Source organism: Homo sapiens, chromosome 16 (genome assembly GCF_000001405.40).
Source record: "Homo sapiens chromosome 16, GRCh38.p14 Primary Assembly".
NCBI classification, from domain to species: Eukaryota; Metazoa; Chordata; class Mammalia; order Primates; family Hominidae; genus Homo; species Homo sapiens.
This window is the reverse complement of record NC_000016.10, coordinates 9,479,363-9,507,180: the sequence shown is the minus strand read 5'-3', so window position 1 is coordinate 9,507,180 and position 27,818 is coordinate 9,479,363. Positions and strand designations below refer to the sequence as shown.

Genomic DNA, 27,818 nt, shown 5'->3' with positions numbered 1-27,818 from the left:
TAACCACTCTCATTGCCAGATGACTCCAATAGGCAGCTGGTTCGAGAACCACTGGACTTGATTATGTCTCCAGGTTAGGTACTTCTTAAAATTTCACATAGTCCAAAATAGTCTTTCCAAAAATTGATGATGATCTTAGCATTGAGGCTCATGTTTGACTGAATGATTAGACAGAGCTGCTTTACTAAAATCTTTTGTCTCAGTGGACATAAGGATATTTCTTGACTTCTGGAAAATGTACTTCAAATGGGAAAATGGTAAGAAATATAAAATGTGTAAAATCATCCTTACATTTTATTTATTTATTAAATCACCAACTCCTTTTTCTTATCATGTGTCAAATATTTGTTATATAGTAGACATTTTTGGGTACGACATTGGATAAGACCCAGACCATGACCTCAAGTAGATCACAGTCCACTTGGGCAACACTAAGAACATTTAATTGGAATAATAAAGTGTTGGGTTAAAATATAATGTGCCTCTCTCTAGGACCATGGGCTATTGCAGAAGAGGTGGGCAGGTGACATTGTAAGGGTTGGTTTTGAAGGACAGAATTACTTCAGACCCTCCAAATCAAGGACAGACACACAGATGCCTAAAGAGCTAATAGACTCAAGTACTTTGCCTCCTGGGTCATTATGTGGCCCATTTTCATCCATGCCAACTACAAATTTCCCATAAACTTAAAAGAGAATTACCAACAGGATATTAAGATACCTGGTGACAGAGTCTTCTCGTCACCAGTTGTTCCCAGTTATAGGGTTTATGCAAATAGAGATATGATTTTTAAAAATTTGGCCACCTTAGGAAAAATTGCTAAAGAGACTGTAAAATGCATCGTGGCACAACAAAAAACTCTACATTCCTTAGCTTAAATGGTTTTAGCAAAATGCTTATGTTTCATATACCTAATTACTACAAGTCTGTTACTAAAACCAAGATTACAGTAGCTCAACACATAGAATTTATGGATATGTCAATTCCATAATCTGGCTTTTTGGCTTTGTTTTTTTTGCTCTTATGTTGCTTAAAAGGTTTTAAGAGTTGATGGGTTTCTGCCCACCTCCATTCCTGCCTGTCGTAGAAAGTTTAATTGGCCGTAAGTCTTTGGCTCTAATTCCCTTGGCCATAGGAGTCTCATTGAAGAACAAGATGGACCCAGGGCAAGCAGCCACACTACCCCACAAAGATAGGGAAGAAAATAGAAGTTTAGTCATTGATGCTGCCTCCGGCAGATCTTGGACAAAAGGGGGAGAATAGGAACTAAAAATAAAATTCTAAGCTCCTCAACTAACTGAGTGTATCTTCTCTTGGACAAGGAGACCCCATTTGAAAACTGAGTTATCAGCCATGATAGGATGGGAAGGTCAGACACACTTGTTATACCCTGTTATGGTTTGGCTCTGTGTCTCCACCCAAATCTCATGTAAAATTGTAATCCCCATGTGTTGAAGGAAGGGCCTAGTAAGAGGTGATTGAATCATGGAGGTGGACATCCCCCTTGCTGTTCTTGGGAGAGTGAATGGGTTCTCATGAGATCTGGTTGTTTAAAAGTGTGTAGCACTTCCTGGCCAGTCTACAGAGAATGCACAGTAAGGGTTTTCATGGACTTTGTTTCATCTTCTGACATCAGAGGGCCAAAACTCCACCTTCAGATTGCCGCCATGTTTTGAACATGGAGAAGCAAGAAGCTCAATTGCCTATGTGCACATTTCTCCTTTCATAAACATGAATGACTCCTTCTACAGCTTATTGAATATGTTTATTTGGCCATCCTACTTGGCATCAATTCCTGTTCCCTTTGCTCCTTCCTTGAAGTGTTTGTTTCTGGCTTCTGGCTAGAGGCTATGTTTCCCAGCCAGTCAGAATGGCCACTCTGCAGGCCCTAACTCTTTATAATAAGTAAAGTCTCCTCTTCTCCAAATTTAAATTTAAAAAAATACAGTATGATGAGTGCCATGAAGAAAATAGGCACAGAGAGTTCATGGGGACACTGTGAGAGAAAACTAGCAGCCATGGAGGGAGAAAAAGCAAACACAGCTTCTTAGGAAACTACTAGTAGGAGGCCGGGCATGGTGGCTCACGCCTGTAATCCCAGCACTTTGGGAGGCTGAGGCGGGCAGATCCCAAGGTCAGGAGTTCGATACCAGCCTGGCCAACATGGTGAAACCCCATCTCTACTAAAAATACAAAAATTAGCTGGGCGTGTTGGCATGCGCCTGTAATCCCAGCTACTTGGAAGGCTGAGGCAGGAGAATCCCTTGAACTTCGGAGGAGGAAGCTGTGGTAAGCTGAGACTGCACCACCGCACTCCAGCCTCGGTGACAAAGCAAGACTCTGTCTTGAAAAGAAAAGGAAAAAAAAAAAAGGAAACTATTTGTAGGCGGGAGAGAGGTTGAAAGGAAAATGGAAAAGTGAATGTAGAGGCAGGCAGGTCAGGAGAGGAGGCTGGTGAGGTTGCTGAAGACTAGAATCACCTGGGGAGCATTAAGAAAAATAAAAATGCCCTGTTTCCACCCAAGACGAATTAAATCAGAATATATTCGTGGTAAAACTCAGACATAATTTCTTTTGTATTTTTTTAAATATCTCCAGTTGATTCTGGTGAACTGTCAGTTTGAGAAATCTGGACTAAATTATGAAGTGTCTTGTTACTAATCTAAGGAGTTCAGACTTTGAATTATAAAAGGAAAAGTCTCCTAATACTATAATGATCATTAGACCTGAGAAAAAGCATTACACTTTCAGATGTATTTAAATAGTTCTCCAGGACCATCAATCCTCATTTATCTCTTTGAACCCTGCTAAAGAGAAAACCAACTTCTAGAAGGCATCAGAATAGCATAACAATTAAGGCAGAGTTTGTGTGAAACAGCCTGGATTCAGGTCCTGGCAGAATATTTAACACTTTGGGGGCTTCAGTTTCCACATCTCTAATATTTGGCTACTAATATCTGATTATTTCATAGGGCTGTTGTAAAATATTTACAGAGAACTTACTAGGTGTCAGCCTCTTTGATAAGCCCTAGAAATAAAATAGTAAAAAAAAAACACAAAATGTTTATTCTCATGGAATTTACCTCCTAAAGAGGAGGGTTAGACATTAGTCAAGTAACCATATGAGCAATTATAAAAATATGTACATAATTGCAATTGTGTAATTACAAAATGATATACTGCTAGAATGTCTGGTGATCATGGCTGTCTGTAAGAGAAAAACCAGGAACTAAGAAAGTGTGTAATAGAAGAGCTCACCTGGGAAGAACAGGCTGGAATTTGAAGGAACAGAAACAAATTCACTGAAAATGCAGAGGAAGGGAAATTAGAAGGAAGTGGAGTGACAAGGGAGGCCCAGGCCAAGGGACATATATAAACAAAGGTCCTGAGAGATGAGGCAATAATGTATATGGATGACCTAGCAAGGTTTAGAGTGCAGTGTGAGTGTGCTTAATAGTTCGTTACTGTCAGCAGCAGCAGCAGCCCTCTTCTGAATTAAATCTACAGAGAGGTGAGAAATAGAAATTGAAGAGATTAATTGAGCCAGATATGTTCTCATTGTTAAACATTTTTAAATATTGATGATGTTAAAGGTGAAAATGTCCCTGCATGCAGTTTAAGACTACTACTTTGTACTTAATGAAGGTCTCAAGGAAGAAATGCCAGCTTTCATTCAAGCCCAGGACAAACAGCACACTAAAGAGTGGCATGTTAATCGTCAAGGATATATCTTGAGTGACTGCTGAGACAGACTCTTTCTAGAGTACAAAACAGAGTTTTTCTAGCCAGCCTGCACCTCAGGAGATTATCAGTAGTTCTGGCACGTTGATAGTTGCTCCACTGATATTGAAATGTGCTTGAAATGTGACTACCTGTCCCACCTCCCCCTCAGTCTCTACAGGAATGGCTTGAGTGACAACATGCAATAATATCCTCCATCGATTTCCTTGGAGCTCCCTTTGGTGGCTCAAGATTAAGTGGTGAAGTAGAGACAGCCATTATCACTGTATATTCCAGCAGCTGATAATATGCATTTGATCAATTATTTTAATATAAGTTGCAAAAGGAGCTCCATGCATCAGGGTGAGCAGCTTTGCTGCTTCCTCTGTACTAATTTTTCTTTTTCTTTTTTTTTTTTTTTTTGAGATGGAGACCCACTCTTTCACCCAGGCTGGAGTGCAGTGGCTCAATCTTGGCTCACTGCAACCTCCGTCTCCTGGGTTCAAGCAATTCTCCTGCCTCAGCCTCCTGAGTAGCTGGGACTACGGGTGCCCGCCACCACCCCTGGCTAACCTTTGTATTTTTTAGTAGAGACGAAGTTTCACTAGGATGGCCAGGCTGGTCTCAAACTCTTGACCTTGTGATCCACCTGCCTCGGCCTCTTAAAGTGCTGGGATTACAGGTGTGAAATTTGTCTTTTCTTAATCTTTTGTTTCCTCAGTCTCTGTGGCCTGAGTGCAACTTTGCTCAAGAGATAATACATGTGTGGCATCCAACACTGTGCCTGGCTCATAGTAAGCCCAGATTCTGCTCTTCCTCTTCCATCTTATCATGTTTGCCAAGGAGCCAGACACCATGTAATTACAGCATGGGTCCTAGCATCAGACAGACCTGGACTCAAATCCAAGCCCGATAACCTAACCAGCTGTCATATCTTGGGCATGACACACTAATTCTTCATTTATATACTTTTCTTTTTCTCTGCTAAGAAATTTATTCTGTAATTCTTCATTTCTTCAGTTGTAAAACAGCAACCACACTGTGAGGTTATTGTTAAAACCAGTGATAACCCCCCCACCCCAAAAATCTCCTGACCCCAGCCTATTCAGTAACAGATATCCAGTTTACAGAAGTTATCATTCTCATGCTAGAATTATCCTCAGTTTTGTTTATTTGTCACGAATTTTCACCTTCTTCCTCCCAGCAAATGTAAGAAATGTAATAAAGTTTATTTGACTTTGAGAAAATACTGTTTTGACCATGAATATGGTATTACCTACCCATTAGGACTCTCCTTTTTCAGTGACCAAAAAATTCATCATAAATTGCTCATGGCAAAAAATGCACAAAAGCCCAGGTGTTATTAGCTGCAGGCATGGCTGGATCTAGATGCTCAAATTATGTTCTCAGGGATCTGCTTCCTGCCATCTCCCATCTGCACTTGGCTCTATTTTGGCTTCATTTTCAGGTGGGCTCTCCCTCATACTAACAGAAATGGCCTTCAGCAACTCTACGCTGATATAGCTGTAGTTTAGCAAAGCTGATGAAAAGAAAATAACTATTTTTCAAGTAGTTTCAGAAAAATTCCTGGACCTAATTCTGATTGACTTTAATCATGTGACCACCTTTAACCTATCTCTGTTGCCAGTCCTGCCTGAGTCAGGGGCCCATACCTGGAGTGGAAAACAGGTGAGTTCCCAGAGAAAACACAGGAAGCTCCTTCCTGAAGAGGGATGCCTGGAATGCAGACAAAACCAATTCAGATTCAGTAACTATAGGCATTTTTCACTTTTTCCTCTTAATCTTAACTCTCTTCCCCATAAATCAATTGTTGACAGAAGAAGCTCACTTTGATCAGTTGCTCAGCTGAGCCCTCTTCCTGGCCTCACTGATTCCTCAGCCAGCCTTTACCTCCACTCTGGAAGACACCAGGCCTCCATCAATTTGCAGCATCTGCATTTATTCCAACCTGTGCAGCAAGAATAAGCATCAGCAATGGAGATAATTGTAGCCAATCATTTGGCTTCCAATCACCTGCTTTCAAAACATGTTAAAGCCCCTCGACAGCACAGTCATTTGAGCACTAGGAACCACCAATTTAAAAGAAATCAGCCACTTTTCTTTCTTCACTTATTTCTAGCCTCCTTCAAACAAAGAAATATTTCTTACTTTGACTTAACAGTGACTTAAATAACCAGCAATAAAAATACAGTTTCCACTGACTATTTACTATGCAGCCAAGCCTAGGGAGGAAAGAGCAGGTTGCCCCTGCCTCCCCTTCCCATGCCTATAACCACGACAGACATCACTAATCAATGAGGCACATGCCTCCCCTCCCCATTCTTACATCTGTGACAGACATCACTAATCAGACAACAAGCCACCCCTTATGCCTACATCCATGACAGACATCACTAATCAGTCATGCACATACCTCCCCTCCTCATGCCTAAATCCATAGCAGACATCATTAATCAATCAAGCATAGGCCTCTCCTCCCCATACCTACATCCATGACAGACATCGCTAATCAATCAAGCATCAGCCTCCCCTCCCCATGCCTACATCCATGACAGACATCACTAATCAGTTAGGCACTCTCCTGATGAACCTGGGTCTGATCTCTGAATCCTCCCCAACATAGCAGCTATTATGAAAAGAATGAAGTTGGTTTCATTCATAAGAAAGGAAACTATCTGCCCTCTCAGATCTTGGCAATGTCTAGGTTCGTGTCTGTATCTAATAAGTTGTAATCCTCACAACCCTCTCCATTTTACAGGTGAGATGTGAGGCTCAGAGAGGCATGGCACCTTGGTAACTATCACACAGCTTTCAAAGCAGTCTGATTCCACAGCTTAATTTTTACACCATTCTTCCTCATCCTCATCTATTCATAATGAAAACATCAAACTGTTCATAAATCCCTGTTCACCCAGCAGCCCAGGCCAGAGCAAGGGCTCAGAGTTTCACAGCATCCCTCAGAAATGGCTGGCTCCCACTCCCTGTTTCTGAAGGTGCCAGCTGCCTCACCCACTTGGCACTTGACAGCCAGCCACACTACCACTGAGGAGCACTGGAGGCCAGTAGGAGCTACTCCTGAGTGCTGTAGTTTTACAAGTGGCACCAGAGCTGGCATCAGCCCTGCCTTCCTCATTAGGAAGAGCAAGAATGATATTTTGAATCCATGAAACTGTAGCAACTTTCACCTTCCCTTTCCCAGACAAAGTAGACAACAGCAGCATGTCAGAGCAAATCATACTGGCAGGCCCAACCTGCCAGCAGTGAGGGAGGGCAGAGAGTAGGAAGCAGCTGGAAGGAGGACCCCGATGCCAGATGAAATTTGAGAGGGGATTGAACTCTCACAGCAGGGGTCAGAGCATCCAGCCTAGGGGAGGGAAAGAAGGAGGGAAAGCTCACTTTCAGTACAAGCAAAGCAAAATGAAATAAGATGAAATAACTCACTGTAGCTGCAACTGCCCTTTATTTCCCAAATATTGCTCTGAATTCCTGTTCTTCCTCTACCTCCTCCCTGACATCTTTCTTAATACAAGAAGCTGTGTAGTAGATAAGAGAATGCACTACCAGTCTGAATCCAGTACCAGTAATTTGCTGCTTGAATAACCTAGAGAAAGCGCTTCAGCTTCTCTATGCCTCAGTTGCCCCATCAATATAATGGAGATAATAGTATTTGATACTTTATTACAGAGTTTCTCAATCTTGGCACTATTGACACTTGGAGCCAGATAATACTTGTTTTCGGGGGGCCTGTCCTATGCATTGTAATTTGTTTAGCAGTATCCCTAGTGCCTATTCATTGGGTGTCAATAGCACTTATCCACCCACCCCCAGTCATGTCAACCAAAAAAGTCTCCAGAAATTGCCAAATATCTGGGGTGGAGGGAGGTGGGAATCACCCTTGACTTCGAACCACTGGCTAATTGGGTTCTTAGAAAAATTAACCAAGTTAATATTATATGTTGTAAATCATTTAGAAGAGTGTCTGGCACATCAAAAGAGCTTGCTAAATGTTAGTTATTATTGCCATGTCTCTGTCCATGTCCCAGACCATTCCTTCTCACACATTTCACACCCATTGATATGGCTTGGCTATGTCTCCATCCAAATCTCACCTTGAATTGTAATAATCCCTGTGTCTCAAGGGCAGGACCAGGTGGAGATAATTGAATCATGGGGGTGGTTCCCCCATACTGTTCTCGTGGTAGTGACTAAGTCTCACAAGATCTGATGGTTTTATAAAGGGGAGTTCCCCTGCACAAGCTCTTTGCTTGCCACCATGGAAGACGGGCACCTTTGCTTCTCCTTTGCTTTCCCCCACGATTGCGAGGTCTCCCCAGCCATGTGAAATTGTGAGTCCATTAAACCTTTTTCCTTTAGAAATTGCCCAGTTTTGGGGTATGTCTTTATTAGCAGCATGAGAACAGACTAAGACACCCATATTTATGGTACACATTGCTAATCAATGGTAACTCTGTTCCTGACACCCTTGGGTATGATCTGTAAATCCTTCTCAACACAGCAGCCATCTTTCAAGATCCGGATGCTCTTTGGGAATTCTTCGAGACCTAGGAGCTGAACCTGACACCAAGAAGCAGCTCTGGGCACTTACTTTATTCCAACCTCAGGATAGCCCTATGAAGTCTCTATACCCACTTAGCAGTTGAAGAAACTGAGCCTTAGCAAGGCTTGGCCTAAGGTCATGTGGCTACTAAATGACAGCAGCAGACGTAAACCCCAAAGCCCATTTTTTGGCTATCCCCAAAGCTAGATATCAAATCCCCAAGAGTCTGATTTCACAGCTCATATTCTTAAGAATGACTCTGGATAGTTAATGCAGGATTCTCCAGTTGGGCTGCACTGGTGAACCACCTCTCCAAGGAAAAGGTAAAAGCCCTAATGTGTAGCGTTTGCCAATTCCCACAGTGTAAATACTCTCACTATAGCTGATTTGAAACTAGGGATGATTTTAAAACTGACTCACAAAATTCCTAATGATGTAACAATTGGTTTTTGAAGGCTGGTGCAAGCAGTTTCCAGTGCATCCGAGTGGCTTCCAGTCCATTTTGGAACAAGGCAGTGTATCAATAAATAAGTAAATCCCAGGAAATCTTAAGATAGCAAAAGCAACAGATGAACTAGCTAAGGCAGAGACTGTTTCACTTTCCATCCCTAAAGTTTGATGTACATGCACACACAAACTCATGTTTGGGTTTGAATTCTACAGCTGGGCTTACATAACCTAACACAGTAAATGCTAGATACAATGTCCAGAAAATTCGTTCAGGCTGACATTAACTTTATAGCCTCACTAATTGCCCATGAGTTCTTTTTTGGAAAAAAAAAAAAATCCTCCCTCCTTAGGCTGATTGTTTCTAGCAAACAACTCAGGAATAAATATTAGCAGCAGGATGGAAAGTCTAGACCAATGTAGTATTTGCAGACGATTTCCCCTCCAGAGACACACAGCAAGATGTGCTTCAATTAGCCAATGTAGCTCCAGGCCAGCACAGGCAGCATCGGGGATCCATCTCACTGGGCTATGTGGAAGATGTGCAGCTCTTATATAGTTAGTATAGAAGTTCTAAGCTTAGTTAACATAATGAGCATTAACTGTGTGCTCGTTCTGCTCCTAAGCAAGCAGAGGCTTTCCCCAGTCTTTCTCTTCAACTCAGTTCCCCACCCAGAAGGCAAAGATGAATGATTCCATCTTGTCCCTGTCAGGCAGCTTTTCTTCCATCCTGGCGCACCCCCAAAAGCTCTGTCAACACTCAAGCAAATATGCTCGACCGTTTTGCCATCTCTAATGCTGGGCAGAAACACATCTGAGCAGCTTTTGTGACCCAGGTTGCATTCTGGAAAGCGAAGATGGCTTCCCTGGAAAACACTTCTAGAAAGCCTAGGGCTTAACACCAAAACACCACCATTTCCCATAAGGTCATCAGACCAGCTTAGTTTTGTACAATGCCACAGATCTTTGTTTCTCAATTATCCCCAGCAATCCCCTTCATAAAAAAAAAAAAAAAAAATTAGCCACAAGCACCAAGAGGATTCACTGGAGTTTAATATTCTGAATGCAAAGGATACTTAATTTTTTTTATAGATTCTGCCACTAGGTCTTCATCAAACAAGAATTCTCCAGGACATGGGTGATGTATAGATTACATAAAAACAACCAGGAAGAGGGGTAAGAACATGGATTTTAGAGTCAGACACAAGCCTGGGTTCAAATTCTGCCATGTGCGTGCTCTATGTCCTTGAAAAGTTACTTAAACTCTATGTGCCTCAATTTCCTGATCTGTAAGATGGAGACAGTAATATTAACTTCATAGGGTTCCTGTAACTAGACACATAAAACAATAGGAGTAGATGTTTCTAGCCCACCTGGAGGCATCTGGTGAGTACACTCCACTAGGGATTAGAAATCATCTAATTTTCTAATTAGGGATTAGAATCTTTTAAATAAAACAGGGATTCATTTGAAGTCACAGAGGTCTGGAGACAGACTTTCCTTTTGTTCCATTCTAATGACTTCAGAATGTCTCTAATAATCTTCACTATTCTTTCTGTCTGTACTATTTTATGGCCCTGATAAGGACCTAGTTTGCTTCCTGGTTTATAAAAGACTTTTTTTTAAATGGGATCTTCAAAACCAGATGCTTCTCCTGGCCCCGGAAGAATAGAAACCATTAGGAATGGTTCTGTCCACCATGGATGACATAAAGAAAATATGACTCTGCTGAGAATGACCCCAAATCCTCCCGATGTTGTGCTTGTATAGGGAAGTGGCTTCTAAATCCATGTAAGCCTGACTCAAAATGTTCTTTAAGACACTATCTAAGCTATCAAGAGGTTCTCTGCAGAGACTCAATGAGGATATTAAAGCTCTCAAGGGTATCGTGAAACTGCTCTGTCTCGGCCTTTTCAAAGTTTCTAAGGAACCCTTGGAGAACAACTCTATAAAAAGGAAAGGTATTGGCTTATCAAAGTCTGAGAGCTGGCAACCTTACACCCCATGAGCCTCACATTTATTATCTTACTCTCATCCTTTCTGGTTTCTAATCAATTAATTTATGTGAAATCTCCCCTATAAAGCTTTGTCAAGAACTACTCCTTAGCTCTTCTTGCTGGGATACAGAGGATGGAGTGGTTGTAGGTCTGGTTCCAGGCACTGAGAGTGGCTAGGATCAGAAACCTCTATAGGCTGGTTCACCTTGGCTCCATGAGAGGGCTTTGGGAAAAACGATGCACATGGGAAAATATAAGAGCTAAGTATCCAGAGATGTAGCATTGGAAGCCCGTGGAGCTAGAGGCCATTATCCTTAGCAAACTAATGCAGGAACAGAAAACCAAATACCACATGTTCTCACTTCTAAGTGGGAAGTGAATGATAAGAACGCATGCACACATAAAGGGGAACAACCCACACCAGAGCCTGCCAAAGAGGGAGGAGGAGGAGGAGGGAGAGGATCAGGAAGAAGAACTAAGGGGTACTAGGCTTAATACCTGGGTGATGAAATAATCTGTATATAAAAAAAAACAACAACCCATGACACAAGTTTACCTATGTAACAAACCTGCACATGTACCCCTGAACTTGAAATAAGAATTTTTTAAAAAATAAAGGCTAAATAAAATAAAAGATTCGAAGCCCAGGTCTACGGGGCCATGAATTAGGACACCATCACTAACTCTGAACCTAAAAGACTCTTCCTTTCCCCCTGTATTAGCCAGGACTCTCCAGAGAAACAAAACCAATACAATACAGAGAGATATAAAAGGAGATTTATTATGGGAATTGTCTCACACAATTATGGAAGCCAAGAAGTCCCACGATCGTCCATCTGCAAGCTAGAAAATTCAGTCCAAGTCTGAAGGGCCGAGAACCAGGAGGGGGCTGTTGGTGTGAGTCTGAGTCTGAAGGCCCAAGAACCAGGAGCTCTGATGTCCAAGAGTAGGAGAAGATGGATGTCCCAGCTCAAGAAGAGAGAGAGAATTCACCCTTCCTCTGCCTTTTTGCTCTATCAGTACCCTCATTGGACTGAATGGTGCCCATCACATCATTCAGGGCAAGTGTTCTTTACTCCGTTTACTGATTCAGATGCTAACCTCTTGCAGAAACACCCTCTGGGACACACTCAGAAATAGTGTTTTACCAGCTATCTAGGCATCCCTTAGCACAGTGAATTGACATAAAAAATTAACCACCACACACCCTCTGCATTGACCCTTTGGAAATCTCATCCCAGAGAAATAAAAACATGAAGAGATACAGTATCTTACATAAAATATTTTTAAAATCATCATGTAAAGGCCAGAGATGACCTGATCACTGTTATTTAAAGAGTGGAAACATGAATATGGAATGAAATTTACATGAGAGGAAGACGTTAGTTTGACACTGGAGAGAAGAATATAACAAAGTGGTCCAAAAGAGAATTTAGGGTTTATGTACCTATTAATTCATGCAAAAAAAAAAAATATTCACTGAGTACCAGCCATGTGTCAGACAAAGTTCTGGATGCTGGGGACATACCAGTGAGCGAAAACGGGTGTATTTCCATGGTCCCACTCTCCTTCTTTTGTCTCTTTTTTCCTTCCTTCCTTAATCAAAACATTAGTGCTTACTAGTGCCAAGAACTGTGCAGATACTGAGGCTCCAGAAAATAGTCAACAAATAGATGAACAATTGCTCATCAGTATGAAGAATAGCTAACCTGAGGGGAATGAGAGATCAAAGACTACACATTGGGTGCAGTATATACTGTTCGGGTGATGGGTGCACCACAATCTCAGCGATCACCACTAAAGAACTTATACATGTAACCAAACACTACCTGTTTCCCAAAAACCTACTGAAAAAAAAAATACTAAAACAAATAAATAAATAAATAAAGACTTAGCATGACAACAAAGAAAAAAAGAAAATAGCTAACCTGTATAGAGTACTTTCTATTGGCCAAACACCCTGGATTAAGTCAATGAATGTCAATGAATCCTCACAACAAACTCTCTTTGTTTTTAGAACGATTATCTTTATCTCACAGGTGAGGAAGTTGAGGCTCAGACAGTCTAGGGAACTTGCAATATCACGGAGCAAGGAAGTAGTGGAGCTAGACATCAAATCCACAGTCTGATTCGAAGTTCATATTCTTAAACATGACTTTGGATGGTTAAAGCATGTATATTCTATAGTGGAGGTGTGCTTGTAAACCAGCTCTCTAAGAAAGAAAAAAATAAAGCACCAGTTTGTAACATTTTCCATTGCCTTTGGTGTAAATAGTCCCACTGTGGTTAGTTTGACGTTACCAATGGTATAACAACTAATTCACAAAATTTCTGAAAATTTAATAATTGGTTTTGCTAACGGGTGCAAATCAGGCTTCAGCATATGACTAAGTACAAATTGCTGGTGGATACAGAGAAGAAACTCACCTAACTCACCTTTAGGAATTTTGCTGTAGAATTAAAGATGAATGAGCCATAAGCTCCTTTCCCATAGGCCCCTGGAGTAGCCCATTTCCCTTTACCCTCGCTGAGCCCACCCCAATTTTTAGAACTGGTTGTTCAGCATTTCCTTGGATTCTCTAAAACGCAATATCCTTCCAACAATATCCTTCCAACAATATCCTTCCAATAAATTGCTTCTTGACCAAGCTGAGTCAAAATGAGCTTTGTTATTGAAAGGCAAAAGATTCTTAATAACTAATGCAGAGGGACGTCTCCATTGGAATCAGGAAAATATTATTCAGCAGAGCAGCAGCAACGTGTTGATGTCAATTAAATGCAGCTTCGATAGACAGACATGCTCTTCTGAAAATGCAGGGACCTGTACTCTCAGAACAATAGAAATTTTCAATCTACCAAAGGGAAGTCTAGCAACAACATTCCTGGGTGGACTTAAGCATGTGTTTATACACCATTAGCTACTTGGCAGAGTGACTGAGAGAACGCTGTGACCGTAAATAACATAAACTGAGGTTAGAAAAGCTGGGGGCAATGGAAGAGATCAGTGATGACGATTTATTATCCCTGAAATTATAACAGAAGCCCATAATAAAATGTAGTTCAATTTTAAAGGGAAAAGACTTACAAACAACATTTTAGAAATTCAGCTAGAGAGTAAAGCCATAAATAAGTATCTTTTCTGAGGTCTACCTGAACTTGCAGTCAGGTGGATATGAGCCTGAATCTCAGCTCTTTCCTAGCTCCGTGACCTTAAGCAAGTACCAGCCATGTGCCAGATACATCTTGAAGCTAGCTTTAGGCTCCTCTTCTGTAACCTGAGATAAATAATTCAGGGTGACTCTGAGAAGTAAATGTAGAATGCGTGGATCCTATAGTGGCATCCTGGCTCACCACTAATATTCAAAAGATGATAGTTAATGTTGAAATTGTCCCTATATACTGCATAAAAGTCTATCAGTAAAGAAGAAAGGGAGAAAAACAAAAACAAACCAAGTTTGCAGTACACGCAGCATTCATCATTAGGTCAGCTTGCTCGCTCATAGCTGTTTGGTGTCTATTGTTTTAGAATCATGCGCACCCTCTTATAAGATTATAGTTCCCCTTAACTGCTCTAGAGATAATAACTTGAACATTATAAAATATTCAGTTTTTCAATTGAGATATTCTTTTAGGTCCTACATATCAGTGAAACTATTGACATCATCTGGTCTGAAGGCCTCCATGAGAAACTGACTCATCAAGAAATGCGGTTTCCAAGTCCTGATGATTTCATACTCCTTACCCCAACCAACCAATGACCCAAATTTCCAGCCCCTTGCCCTCCATGATCCCCTTAAAAACCCTAGCCCAGAACTCCTTGGGGAGATGGATTTCAGAGTCTCCTCCAATTTCCTCACTCAGTGCCTTTCTCTGCTGTAAACCCTGCTGTGTCACTGTATTGGTCTGTTAAATTGCAGTGAGGATATGCATCTGTTGGTCCTATAACAATATTGTCAACAGTGACGATGATGACAGTGATGATGATTACAGCTCAAGTCTTGTCCCATCTAGAACCTCTTCCTGACGTCTCTATCCCTGATCAATTTTTCTAACCTTTGGGGATAGCTCTGATGTAGTTCTCATCAATTACCTGTATCTATAGTTACCTATAATTATCTCATCAATGATCTATAGTTAAGTAGATAATTACCTGTTTTACTCAAGAGTAAGAACTGTGTTTCAATTAGCTTCTGTGTTTCATGTAATAGTGAAAGTACAAGATTTGCAGTGCAATTGTATTTCAGAGAAGTTCGATCATTTTCTTAAGGTTACATAGCTTATAACTGTAAGAGTTCACTAAGCTAAAATATAGGTCTGTGCTATTCCACAGCCCAAGCATTTTACTTCTACTTCACCTCTCCTCCCTAGTAGGTACTTATCTGTTAATTAAGCTTAGTGCTCTGCTCTTGGGACCCACTCGTTGTTGTTGTTGTCACCAATATTCTTGTTGTTGTTGTTTTTCCAAATTCCATGTTGATCTGTGTGATAAGGGTCTTTTGACTGATCACAGCTCAAATCAATGTCAAGTACACACAGAGGATGGATTCTTGCCCTTCTCTGAGCCCTAGCATTACAGATTCAGTGTAGCAGGACTGAACCAGAAACTGTTTGGCAATGCCTAATCTGTTGCATTTGGCACCAAAGATGATGGTGGATAAAACTCTTGATGGCATCATCCTTGCCTGGTTGCACGTAGTAAGGAATTAGAAGTCCCCTAGCGTTTGTGTCCAAGCTAATTTAGACTTGTTTTCCTTACTAAAACTCATGGAGGTTTGACCTACTCATATGATAGATGCACATGCCCTCCACAGTCTCCTTGCAAATAAGGATCGCCGTAAAGGATACCTAGAAAAACTGCTGCTCCTCCAGGGTCTGTGTACTCTGAGCATTTTGCCTTCAATGTGAGCCTAGGGTCAAGGGCTCTTGATATAGGTTGCTAGGATTCTAGTTCTAGTTTTACCACCTGCAAGCTGTGTGAACTTGAAATAGTTAATCTCTCTGTGCCCTTTTCCTTTATGTACATAATAAGGATTATATCCCTCAAACATAGCCTGTTGTAAGGAGTTAATGGGATGCCATGTGTAATATAGCTAACAGCCTTGGCTCCCAGGCAGTCAATGCTCCCCTGAGCTCATCACCAAGGGAAGGACCTTGAAAAATGTCACTAGGAAGGACCAAGAAAAATGTGCAACTCAGGTTGGCCTCTGTGAGGGTAAAAGAAACTCAGATGATCTCAGCCCTTCCATTTCTGCTTCCTTCCTTCACCTATCACGCACCCCTGAAAATTTTCATGCTGCCGTCACCACACTCCGGGAAAAACACACATGCTCTGGAGTCAGAGCTCTGAATTCAGAGACCTGTGTCTCCAAAGACTGGCTGTATCCCACTGCAAATTATTTCTTCCATTTCAGCGTTTCCACAGTGTGAATGATAATGTAAACTAAGTAAAACAAAAATGCCTTGCCATGAAAATCACAGAATCCATGCTGTTATTTTCTCAGATATTTTAGTCTTACATAAAGGAAGGGTTGTTTTTCTGTTGTTTTTGCAAAAGTCTTCTCTCTCCGTCTGTCTGTTTCTGCCTCTCTGTTTTTCTCTGTGTGCATGTCAACTATCTCAGACTCTTTCTACACACTTCTTTAAATTCTTTGTATTTTTCTCACTCTCCCATGTCTCACACTGTCTCTTTCTGTAAATCACTCTCTCTCTCTCTCTCTCTCCCTTTCTCTCTCTGTGTATGTGCGTGTCAATTCTCTCAACCTCTTTCTTTATAATTCTCTTACCCACTCTGACTCCCAACCATAGTCATTTAAAGTGTATCCTCTAAATTCATCTGCCTGAATTTGCAGACTGGCTCCATACTTGAAGAACTGTGTGAACTTGGGTAATTTATTTAGTCTCTCTGAGCTTGTTTTTACACTTTGAAAGTAAGGAAAATAACAAAGTTTCTACTGCACAGGGTCATCATGAAGAAGAAATACAATAATGCGGCCAGAGCCCCGACCATCATACCTGGCAAAGAGCATGCATTTAACAAATATTCGCTGTTGTGATTATCTGTTTCTCCTCTCTCCTTGATCCATTTATCCTTGTGTCTATTTCAGGTGCATTCTCTTCCTTTATCTTGCTCTGTTTTCTGGCTCTCTCCCTCTCTCCTTTCTTCCCTCCCTCCTTCTCTCTCCTCCTCCCTCTCTGAACAGAGATCCACTGCTGCTCATTTCCTAAATTTGTTTAGCCACATCAATCTCTTGGTCAGGTGCAGATGTCAAGCTGCCCACACACAAAATAAAAAGCTACACTTGTGGTGCCAAGGAGGTATGGGCGGCTTGGGAGCCCTTACCAAGTTTCTCAGGAGATGGCCCAGGGGTTCCATGACGACAGGGCCAGCGCTGGCAATGTTTTCCTATGCCATGGTAACCACCCACCGTGCGTCACTGCAAGACAAACGGTGCCTCTCAGTAAGCAGAGAGATTAACAGCGTAGAATGTGGAGTATGAGCTCTTCAAAGGGAGCAGAATGTTCAACTGTAATTCATCTGAACTCCCATTTTTAACTCAAAACACAAATTCAGTTGCCAATAGAAGTCTATAAAGAATTAATTAGGGAACTTCACAAACAGTCAAAACTCATAAATTTATCACTGACAAAAAGAATCATTTCCTCTGTCAGACGTGAAGTATGGTTGTCAGAAAACGGAAACAAAAAAGAAAAAAACACTCAAAGAAGCAGGCCTGCTGTCTCATTTCTTTTCTCTAATTTGAAGAGAGAAGATAGTTTAGCACTTGGAGGATTCAGAAACTGACAATGCTCCCAGACCCTAAGCTCCATGAGGCTAAAGGCGGCCATGTCTGCAGTGTTCATTGCCAGAACTCCATTCTGTGGCTTGGTGCCTGGTACAGACGAGGAGTTGAAAATATTTATTGAATTGACTAAAATTTAAAAGGAGGCAATGGGAAGGGATAAAATTGATGGTCCAGACTTCTGACATTAAATCTGGCTTCCCTCCATTGCTCTGTCCTACTTCCTGTGAAACAGGAAGTGACACAGTGGCATCATCCCCCTGTCTGAGAATTCCTGACTACTGTGACCCCATTATTACTCTAACAACCCCCATAGTAAGAGCATGGCTTTGGAACATCAACAGGCCCAGCTCTATCCTAACTTCTATTAGTCTCAGTTTTTTCATGTGTAAAATGAAGCTAATTCTTTCATTGACGTCACACAATTTATGGAGATTAAGTGATAAATGCATTTGAAGATAAATATTAGCTACTAGTATCATTACTATAAGGAGTAAAGAGGACCATATTAGTTTGCTAGGGCCGCCATAACAAAATACCTCAGAGTGGGTGGCTTAAACAACTGAAAATTATTTTCCAACAGTTTTGGAGGCTGGAAGTCCAAGATGAAGGTGTCCGCAGCATTGGTTTCATTAGGAGGTCTCTCTCCTTGGCTTCTGGATGGCCATCTTCTTGCTGTATCCTCACATGATCTTTCCTCCGTGCACACACACCCCTGGTGTATCTCTATGTCCAGATTTCCTCTTCTCATAAGGATGCTAGTCACATTGGATTAGAACCCACCCCAACAGCCATGATATTAACTTAATCGTCTCTTTAAAGACCCTATCTCCAAAAAGTTACATTCTGTAGTGCTGTGGGTTAGGGCTTCAACATATGAACTTTGCGGGGACAAAACCCAGCCCATAGCAGGGACCTTAAGTATAATCATACTTCTCAATAGTTTAAGAGAAAACAAAAATTTGCCTTCCGACTGGCACTGAGCTGAGTTCACCCTTGTAAATCCTCAAGCTAAAAAATATTTTTCAAATCTGACCTGCCAGCATGCAAAGATCTAGCCAGCATACCAGCGATATAGGACTAATGCATGCAGCACAGGACACCTCAGCCAAGGCTCTTGCCCTCTCTAGTCCTAATCTAGGAGGAATAGGTTGGACCATGGGGTCCCTAAGATTTCATCTGCTATAATTCTAGCTATATGATTGCTCAGATGCTGAAAGGATCTGCAAAGGCTTGTACAGAAAGTATGAGTTCATATAAAAAATAAGAGTGTTCCCACCTCTATATTGAAAGTTTAGCTTCTGGAGCTCTCCACTGTAGTAAGCATGTGGTAGAGGACACTAAACTTTGGGAGAAAAATGGGAAAAAGCTCAGGGAATCAAGGTTAGGAGCAAACTCATGAAGGGCTTTATCATAGTAACGCCTCCAGCTTGCCTGGCATCCAAAAGATGGGTCCAATTATTACCAGAAAGAAAACCTAACACTGAATCTTGACCACTCATGAAGTGCAGCAGGTAGTGCAAATAATTCCCTTCAAAATGCATTTCAACCTAATCAGGGTCCACCTCTGGGAGTCGTCCCTGGGAGTCGTCCCTGGGAGTCTTTCCTTTCTCCAGCCTCTTGCCTCTTTCTCCTCTCCTTACCCTCATACCCTTGGTATTTTCTATTTCTCTGCCAGGGTCTGGCTCTATCAATGAAGAAACTCCTTACAGCCCTTGGCTCCTGAACATCACCTCTGATTCCTTCCTCTTTTGTAGGAAAAAGCATCAAGCTCTTCACTTTCCTCGGGTGAGAGATGGCAGAGTGCAGTGGTTAAGACAGGCATTCTGGAGCCAGTCTCATTAGTTTTGAATTCCTGATCTCCCACCGATCAGCTGGATCTGTTACTGGGAAAGTTACTTAACCTCTCTATGCCTCCATTCGTTTATCTGTGAAGTGGGAATTGCAATTGTTTCTCCCTACTGGGGCTGTTAGGAGGGTTAAATGAGCTAACATGCATAAAGTGTGAGGACAGTGCCTGTACACAGTAGGTGCAACACATGTTAACTGCTTTTCCTGAGAGGTGAGCATTCATACTAGTGGCTGAGGTTGGGCAGAACAATTTACTGGGGTGCATAAAGAAAATATCTGTTATCATTATCTTTTTAATGTCTATTTTAATATGTGTTTTATAAGATACACAATATACAAACACAATAGTATGTGTTGACAACTTAAAAATAAGTAAACATATATATTGCGTGGAAATGTTCGAAAAATTCTAATTCAGTGCACAACCAAAAAAGTTTAGAGGCCATTGATCTATAGCCAACCAACCCTTACTTTTTAGAAAAAAAAATGTAATTTGCACAATAGTATTTTTCAGAACACACCCTTTTCCTGTTAATACTGACTTTTTCTCTGAGTGTAATGTAGTTGTCACTGTTCTACTAATGAAACCTCAGTCTCTTTATTCTGTCTTACTAAAGACTGCCAGTCTGCCAATAATAGAGAAGGGAATCTCATCCAGCTACTATACATGTTTACACTCACCTAAACACAACAATAAAGACAGCATCGAGAGATAGAATGAAAGAGTATCAGGGACTGTCAGCACATAATAAATCAGTAATTATAGCTACTATACAACTCATTTCCATTTGCTATTTCTTATTCATTAGTCCTCACTTCGAAAATCCTGGTTTTCCATGATTGTCATTTCACTTCAATTTCATTTCATTTTCAATTTCTTTCACTGTGCATTTTCAGGGAGGGGCTGCATTTCTCCATGTCTACCTTTTTAAAATTATAATGCCCACTGCATTTCTGATTTTAGATATAGACTTCCAACTCTTGGACCCACTGTGGTCTGAGACATTCAGTGAAATCTGGATACCTGCATTGGAAATAACTTTGGGCAACCTTGTTTCAACCCTTTTGGTGTCACTAGTAGGAATTTCTTCAGTCCCATTGGCAATACCCAGAATTTTGTAATCTCAACTTTCTCCATGTAAGTTTGTACCAAAGCCACCTGCCTCTTAAACATCTGCCTTTCTTATACTGACTAGAATTATCTGAAAATAAAGGACGGCTCACCGTCCTGAGAATAGGTGATGAGCTTCCTACCTCTAAAGCAGCACTTCTCAATTTTGGCACTATTGACACTTGGGGCTCGATAATGCCTTGTCACGACGGGTCACCCTGTGCATTGTGGGGTGATTAGCAGCACCCCTCGTCTCAACCTACCAGATGCCAGTAGCAACTCTCCCCAGGTCGCGACAACCAAAAATGTCGCCAGATATCACCACGTGTCTCCTGAGGGGCAAAATCATCTCTGGTTGGGAATCCTGTTTCAGAAGTAGTCAAGAAGAACAACAATACCCCCTTCAAGGGGGTTACAGCAGGAAGATTCCTGTGCTGGGTGGGAGCTTGAACCAGATTTTAAACTCCATGGAAATTCTACAGTGCTACAATAGCATAAAATGGTTTTTATGTCAGTGGTGTTGATGGGGTGAAGCAGAGAGAGGAATGGGGCAGGAATGGGGGAAATTTAGAATCTGGGTCCAATGGACTTGGGGTCCACTCCGAGATCATCTGAGAGTGTTCCCACTATCTCTCTCCCTCCCACAGCCAATCCCTGCAGGGGGGCAGTAGATGAAGCAGGAGAGGTGAGATGCTCACTCAGGAGTTAGGAGATTTATACCAACAGACAATGCTTTCAGAATGTGGTGAGTCTTCCAAGTTTGTTTGTTTGTTTTCCAGACAGAGTCTCACTTTGTCACCCAGGCTAGAGTGCAGTGGCACGATCTTGGCTCACTGCAACCTCTGCCTCCCGGTTCAAGCTATTCTCATGCCTCAATCTCCCAAGTAGCTGGGATGACAGGTGCCGTCCCACCACATCCAGCTAATTTTTGTATTTTTAGTAGAGATGGGGTTTCACCATGTTGACCAGGCTGGTCTCCAACTCCTGACCTCAAGTGATCTGCCCGCCTCGGCCTTCCAAAGTGCTGGGATTACAGGAATGAGCCACCACACCCAGCTGAGCCTTCCAAGTTTTACACCATATCCCCAGCAGCTCTGTGCTCCCACATCCCTAAGTACCAAGAGTAACCTCCTTGCTGCAGTGCTCGAGGGATCTCAGGAGATGTGGGAAAGGGGGACTGCCATAGCATCACCGTACTTCTTCCCTGAGACCCCCACAGCCAGCACAATCCTCATGGACATTCACATTCCAAGATCAAGGGTGCAGACTGACACACTTCATCATTTTCATATGAAATGATTTGCAGTCTCAGAGGCACAGACTGACGGCAAAGCTATCATAAACCCCTCCTGATTTATTTCTCTTATTATTAAATAACCATCTCACTGGAGCCTGGGGACTTTGTGTTTCTTTAGGCCAGCCCCAAGCTCTGAAATGGACACAGCCTAGATAATTAGAACTCCCCTTAAGGACCTCATTCCGCCTACCTCCCCGAAAAGTTTGTCGTTGCATTTCTTGACCTTCCCATGTGAACAGCGCTTGTGTTTAGCTGGGCCATATTTCAATTTGATTGTCTTGCCCACGACACACTGACTGTCTCACATGCTGGAAACAGAATGAATTAGAAGAAGTTTCCTGTTCTGCCTCATGGAGTCTTTTCTTTCCCTTATGCTATGTTTAGCCTTTGTGTGGGCACTTGGCTGATGCCAGATACAACTTATTGCTTTAATTCCTGTTTTGATGAGACACTCTGTTTGCTGAGGGTGAACCTCAAGGGTGAAAGAACTTGCTGAAGTATTTCTTCCGTCATCTACCTCATCTCCTGTGGACTGGTAAAGTTTCTTCCATTTGGGAAAAGAGAGTGTCTTCTTTCAAACACAGAGGAAGTATACTTTATTGGAAGGATTACAATAAAGGAATTCACTGGAAGAATTGCAGATAAAGGAATTCTGGCTGCCTGTCCTGCAGTTGTGCTTTCTATTTAAGCAACATCTACTGCACACCTGCTGAGTACCACATTTCGTGCCAGGCAAGGGTGACACAGCTGTGGCTAAGTCACAGTCCCTGCCCTTGAGGAATTCGAGAGCCTAATGTGGAAGCAAACTGGTAAATAGGTATTAAAATATGATGTGGTAATAAGAACAAAAGCAATGAAAAGCAAGCATCTCTCGTTTTCTGGGGCACTTACTATGTGTCAAGTTCTATGGTAAAAAAAAAAAAAAAAAAAGAAGGAATGGAGTCCAGGCTCTGAAGCCAAGCTGCCCCAGTTTGAATACCATTGTGGGCACTGACGAACGATATAAACTTGGAGAAGTCACTTTCTCTCTCCTGGCTTGTAGATGTGGTGTTTTGAACCAGTCATGTAACCTCTCTGAGCCTCAATTTTTTCATCTGTAGAATGGGAGCAATTGTATTCCTTACCTCTTAGGACTGTGTTCAGGATAAAATGAAATAAGATGTATAATGCGATAAATACTCCACAAAGTCTCGCTATTACTATCTCTATAATCCATGAGGCCAGTCGTATTATTCTCATTTTAAAGATCAAGAAAATAAGGCTCAGATACATTGTATGAGTTGCCCAAGATTTTACACATAGTAAGTGGCAATCCTGCAATTTGAACCCAGGTCTGTATGATGATGCCACAGCCAGGGTTTGAACTAGAGTTCAGTAGGAAGAAACTAATGTTTTTGAGGATCGTAAGGACAGAGAATTTGAGGGGACAGCTTGATCCTCTATCCGGGGTCCTATGACGTGAAGACAAGAAGAGTTCCCAGGGCTGCAAGAAGAGACCTTAGCATCTCTACTCTGTTACTCTTCTTCCTCTCTGCTCCCTTAGTCTCTATTCCTCTGTGTCATCATGAATCTCTGTTTCAACTTCTCCACTTGAATGTCTAATTCAACTTCTAATTAAATGCATTCAATTTCTCCACTTGAATATCTAAATGGCATCTCAGTGTTAAGATACCCAAACCCAGACTCAGGAAGTCTAACCACCCTTCCCATGCTGCTTCTCCCCCAGCTCTTCTCCATCCTGGTACATGGCACCGTCATCTCTCCACCAGTCAACCAAAAACTCTCAAGCTATCTTGATTCCTCTTCTTCTCATTAGCAAAACTCAGCAATCCCACCTTCAAACCAGTGACTGACTCTATTCACAGCTCTCCACCTCCTCCACCACTCTCCTGGCCCAAGGCATCACCCTGTCTCAACGGGACAGTTGCTGGAGCCTCCTTAGGGGTCTTCCTGTCTCACTCTTGCCCCTCCACAGCACACTCCATGCAATATCAAAGTGAGTTTTGAAAACTGAACTTACACACTCTGCATCAGCCATGTGGTCTCCCTCTGTTCCTTTGCCCCATCAAGTACTTAGCTTCAAATGTTCTCTTTTTGATTTTTAGGTGTCTGTTTCCTTCTCATCACTGGATCTCAACTTAAAAATCACAATCTTTGAGACAACTTGACCACTCAGTCTCCCTCTGACTCATCTTCTGTTTTTATTCTTGCATAGCAAGAATTATCACCAACTAATATTTTTTCTGTTTTTGCTTCTCCCCACTAGACGTGGGAAGAGAGGCCTTGTCTATTTTGTTTATGTATCTTCTATATCTTGAACACAATCTGGCACACAACAGGGTCTCGTACATAATAGGTACTCAATAAATATTTATATACCATAAATACATAAATGAGTGTGTTTCTTTCTTTTCCTCTCTCCCTTCTGCCCCTCCTATCTCTAGCTTTTCATCTCTTAAATTTATTATTCAGAATGAGAATAGAAGACTTATAATGTCTCATGCTTAGTCATTTGTAAACAGTAGCTAAAACCCTAGAACTCCCGAATTGTAATGGAGAATTCTAAATTGTAAAATGTGACATGTGGATGGTTCCTCTGAAATGTTTACCAGCCTCCCAAAAACGGTTCCTTATCTTCATGAATACAAATGAAGAAGGGTCGCTCAACGATTACCTTCAAAGCAGCAGCAGCCTGTCTGTAATCACCGTCAGATTCTCTCTGCTCAGTCTCTGATGCGCACCCCTAAATTCACTTCATTAGTTTTAATTATCCCCACCACGAGCAGGCAAAGACTTTACAGCTATTTTAGAAATGGAATTAGCAAAACTTATACACTGGATAACTTTCTCCAAGGTGTTTAGCTGTAATTGTCCTCATGTTGAGTAGAAACAGAAGTAGCATCAGCTTATCCATTTGCTGAATTTATATTGCATTTTGGGGAAGATGCTGTTTGATGACTTTTTTCATTTGTCTGGATTCATTAACATCAAATCTACCTAGACTGACTGAGCCCTGGCTGAACCGTTGCTACGTTCCTACTTTTTCCTATGACATAATTCTGAGTTGAGCCACATTTCTCTCTCTCTTTCACACACACACACACCCTCGCTAACAGCAGAAGCAGCAGCAGCAAATCATACCATAAAACTCTCTCACACACACACACGCACACACACACACTCATGCACACAAACATACTCACACAAAACCACCACCACATAACTCAACCTAATCATCTCTTACCATTGCCACCATAATAATGTAATATAAGCCACTGTCATCTTTTATCTGGACCACGGTGACAATCTCCTTTTGGGCTCTACGTTTCTCCTCTGCTCCCCGCCCCCTTTCTCCCCATCTGGCCTCCATTCAGCAGCTAACATGCTGCTAATAAAAGAAAATTCGAATCACATCCCCCCACCGCTCAGAGCCCCCTGCCTGTCCCTCACGTGTGGATTAAGTCCTCACCACGGCCGACCCTAACTGAACCCTAACAGGGCCCTAACTGATCTGGCTCCTGCCCACTTTTCTGACATTGCCTTGAATTACTCACTCCACTCCAGCCACCTTGCCTCCTGGACATTTCTGGAACCCGCCAACCCCACTCCTGCCTCAGCACCTCTGTGCTGCTATGCCTCAGCCCAGAACATGCTGCAGCAAATGTCCACATGGTTTGCTTCCTCACTTCACTCAAGTCTCCGTTCAAATGCTGCCTCCTCTGAGAAGCCTCCCATAAGCACTCTAATGAAACACTACCCTCAGTCTTCTTCATCCCTACACTTTGATTTTTCTTCCATAACATCATCAGCTGTCATCATTATATAATCTAGGTCGGGCATGGTGCTTCACACCTGTAATCCCAGCAATTTGAAAGGTCAAGGTGGGCAGATCACTTGAGGTCAGCAGTTCAAGACCAGCCTGGCCAACATGGTGAAACCCTGTCTCTACCAAAAATACAAAAATTAGCCAGGCGTTGTGGTTACATGCCTGCAGTCCCAGCTACTCTGGAGGCTGAGGCAGGAGAATCGCTTGAACCCAGGAAGAGAAGGCTGCAGTGCGTTGAGGTTGCACGACTGCACTCCGGCCTGGGTGACAGTGAGACACCATCTCATAAAAACAAAAAGATTATATAATCTAAATATTTGTTTATTTGTCATCTCCCTACATTATGCATAAGAATGTGCTAGCAGGAGCGTTGGAGTGAGAAAATAAAATCATGGGTAAAGGGTAAAACATTTCAGTTACACAGGAGGAATAAATTCTGGTGATCTATTGCACAGCAAGGTGCCTCTAGTTAATAGTAATGTATTGTATATTCCAAAATTGCTAAAACAGTTAATTTCAAATGTTTTCACCACAAAGAAATGGTAAGTATGTGAGGTAATAGATATGTCAATTAGCCAGATTTCCTCATCCACAATATATACATGTATCAAAGCATCACACTGTACTCCATCAATATATGCGATTATTATTTATCGATAAAAATATAATTAAAGGTTGGGCATGGTGGTCCACACCTGTAATCCCACCATTTTGGGAGGCCAAGGCAGGAGGATCACTTAAGCCCTGGAGTTCAAGACCAGCCTGGGCAATGTAGTGAGACTCCCTCTGTATTTAAAAAAAAGAGAGAGAGAGAAAGAAAAATTTTAAAAAATGATGATTCAGGTAGAAAAACGGAATGACTGTAAAAGTGAGCTGACATGCCTGGTTTGACTAAATCTCTGTGGTGGTGGAAACTGAGAAGCCAATTTCAGAAAAATCGTTTAGCTGGGATTAAAATGCACTTCTGTGGGAAACCTCAGAATCTGGGTGTGCTTTTGTATTAGTCTGTTCTCACACTGCTAATAAAGACATACCTGAGACTGGGTAAATTATAAAGGTAAGAAGTTTAATTGACTCACCGTTCAGCATGGCAGAGGAGGCCTCTGGAAACTTACAATCATGGTGGAAGGGGAAGCAAACACGTCCTTCTTCACAGAGTGGCAGCAAGATGAAATGCCCAGCAGAAAGTGGGGAAAGTCCTTTATAAAACCATCAGATCCCACAAGAACTCACTCACTGTCATGAGAACAGCATGAAGGTAACCACCCCCATGGTTCAATTACTTCCCACTGATCAGTCCCACGACACATGGGGATTATGGGAACTACAATTCAGAATGAGACTTGGGTGGAGACACAGCCAAACCATATCAACTTTCCACTCAAGAAGGCTCAAAACATCTCTCATCCATCACCCCAGTGCTCACCCTCCCTCCCCATCACTTTGGGTCACCCAGTCCTTTGGGGGCATTGCACCAACATTTCACAATATCTGTACAATGAAGATACTACCCGCAAATACCAAAATGTGAGTTTCGACTTGGCAAATATATCAAGAACATTAAAAATGTCCAACTCTTCAAGGCAGAAATCCTCCTTTTAGAAAATATCACATGGGGCTGGGTGCGGTGGCTCACGCCTGTAATCCCAGCACTTTGGGAGGCCGAGGCGGGTGGATCACGAGGTCAGGAGATCAAGACCATCCTGGCTAACACAGTGAAACCCCGTCTCTACTAAAAATGAAAAAACAAAATTAGCCGGGCATGGTGACGGGCGCCTGTAGTTGGCAGGAGAATGGCGTGAAGCCGGGAGGCGGAGCTCGCAGTGAGCCGAGATGGCGTGCCACTGCATTCTAGCCTGGGAGACAGAGCAAGACTCTATCTCAAAAAAAAAAAAAAAAAGAAAAGAAAAGAAAAAAGAAAGAAAATATCATATGGAAATATTCTGAAACACAATGTTTCGTGTACACTGTTATTTACAACACAGTGAACAGGAAACAGGAAACAGTCCAACTGTCTCCTAGTATGGCACTGGTTAAACAAATGAGGGTACATTACTATGATGGACTTATGTAGTCATTAAAAGTATGTTTATGAGCATTTTTAATGTCATAGGAAAATATTTACTCAATAATGACAAGCAAAAAAATGAAAATGCAAAATTGTATTATTTCAGTCTCAACTATGGAGAT

The 27,818-nt window shown here is 41.9% G+C and overlaps 1 long non-coding RNA gene across 2 annotated transcripts in view; it reads right to left on the bottom strand.

Annotated features, from left to right (window-relative positions):
- The window catches only part of LOC101927026 (uncharacterized), a 51,795-nt gene that overhangs the window by 11,145 nt on the left and 12,832 nt on the right, over positions 1-27,818 (bottom strand). For both annotated transcript variants that reach the window (NR_188389.1, NR_188390.1), the window contains exons 2-3: positions 5,570-5,689; positions 5,394-5,457 (exon numbers count right to left, since the gene is read on the bottom strand). This is a non-coding gene — a long non-coding RNA (uncharacterized LOC101927026). The remainder of the gene's footprint in view (positions 1-5,393; positions 5,458-5,569; positions 5,690-27,818) is intronic.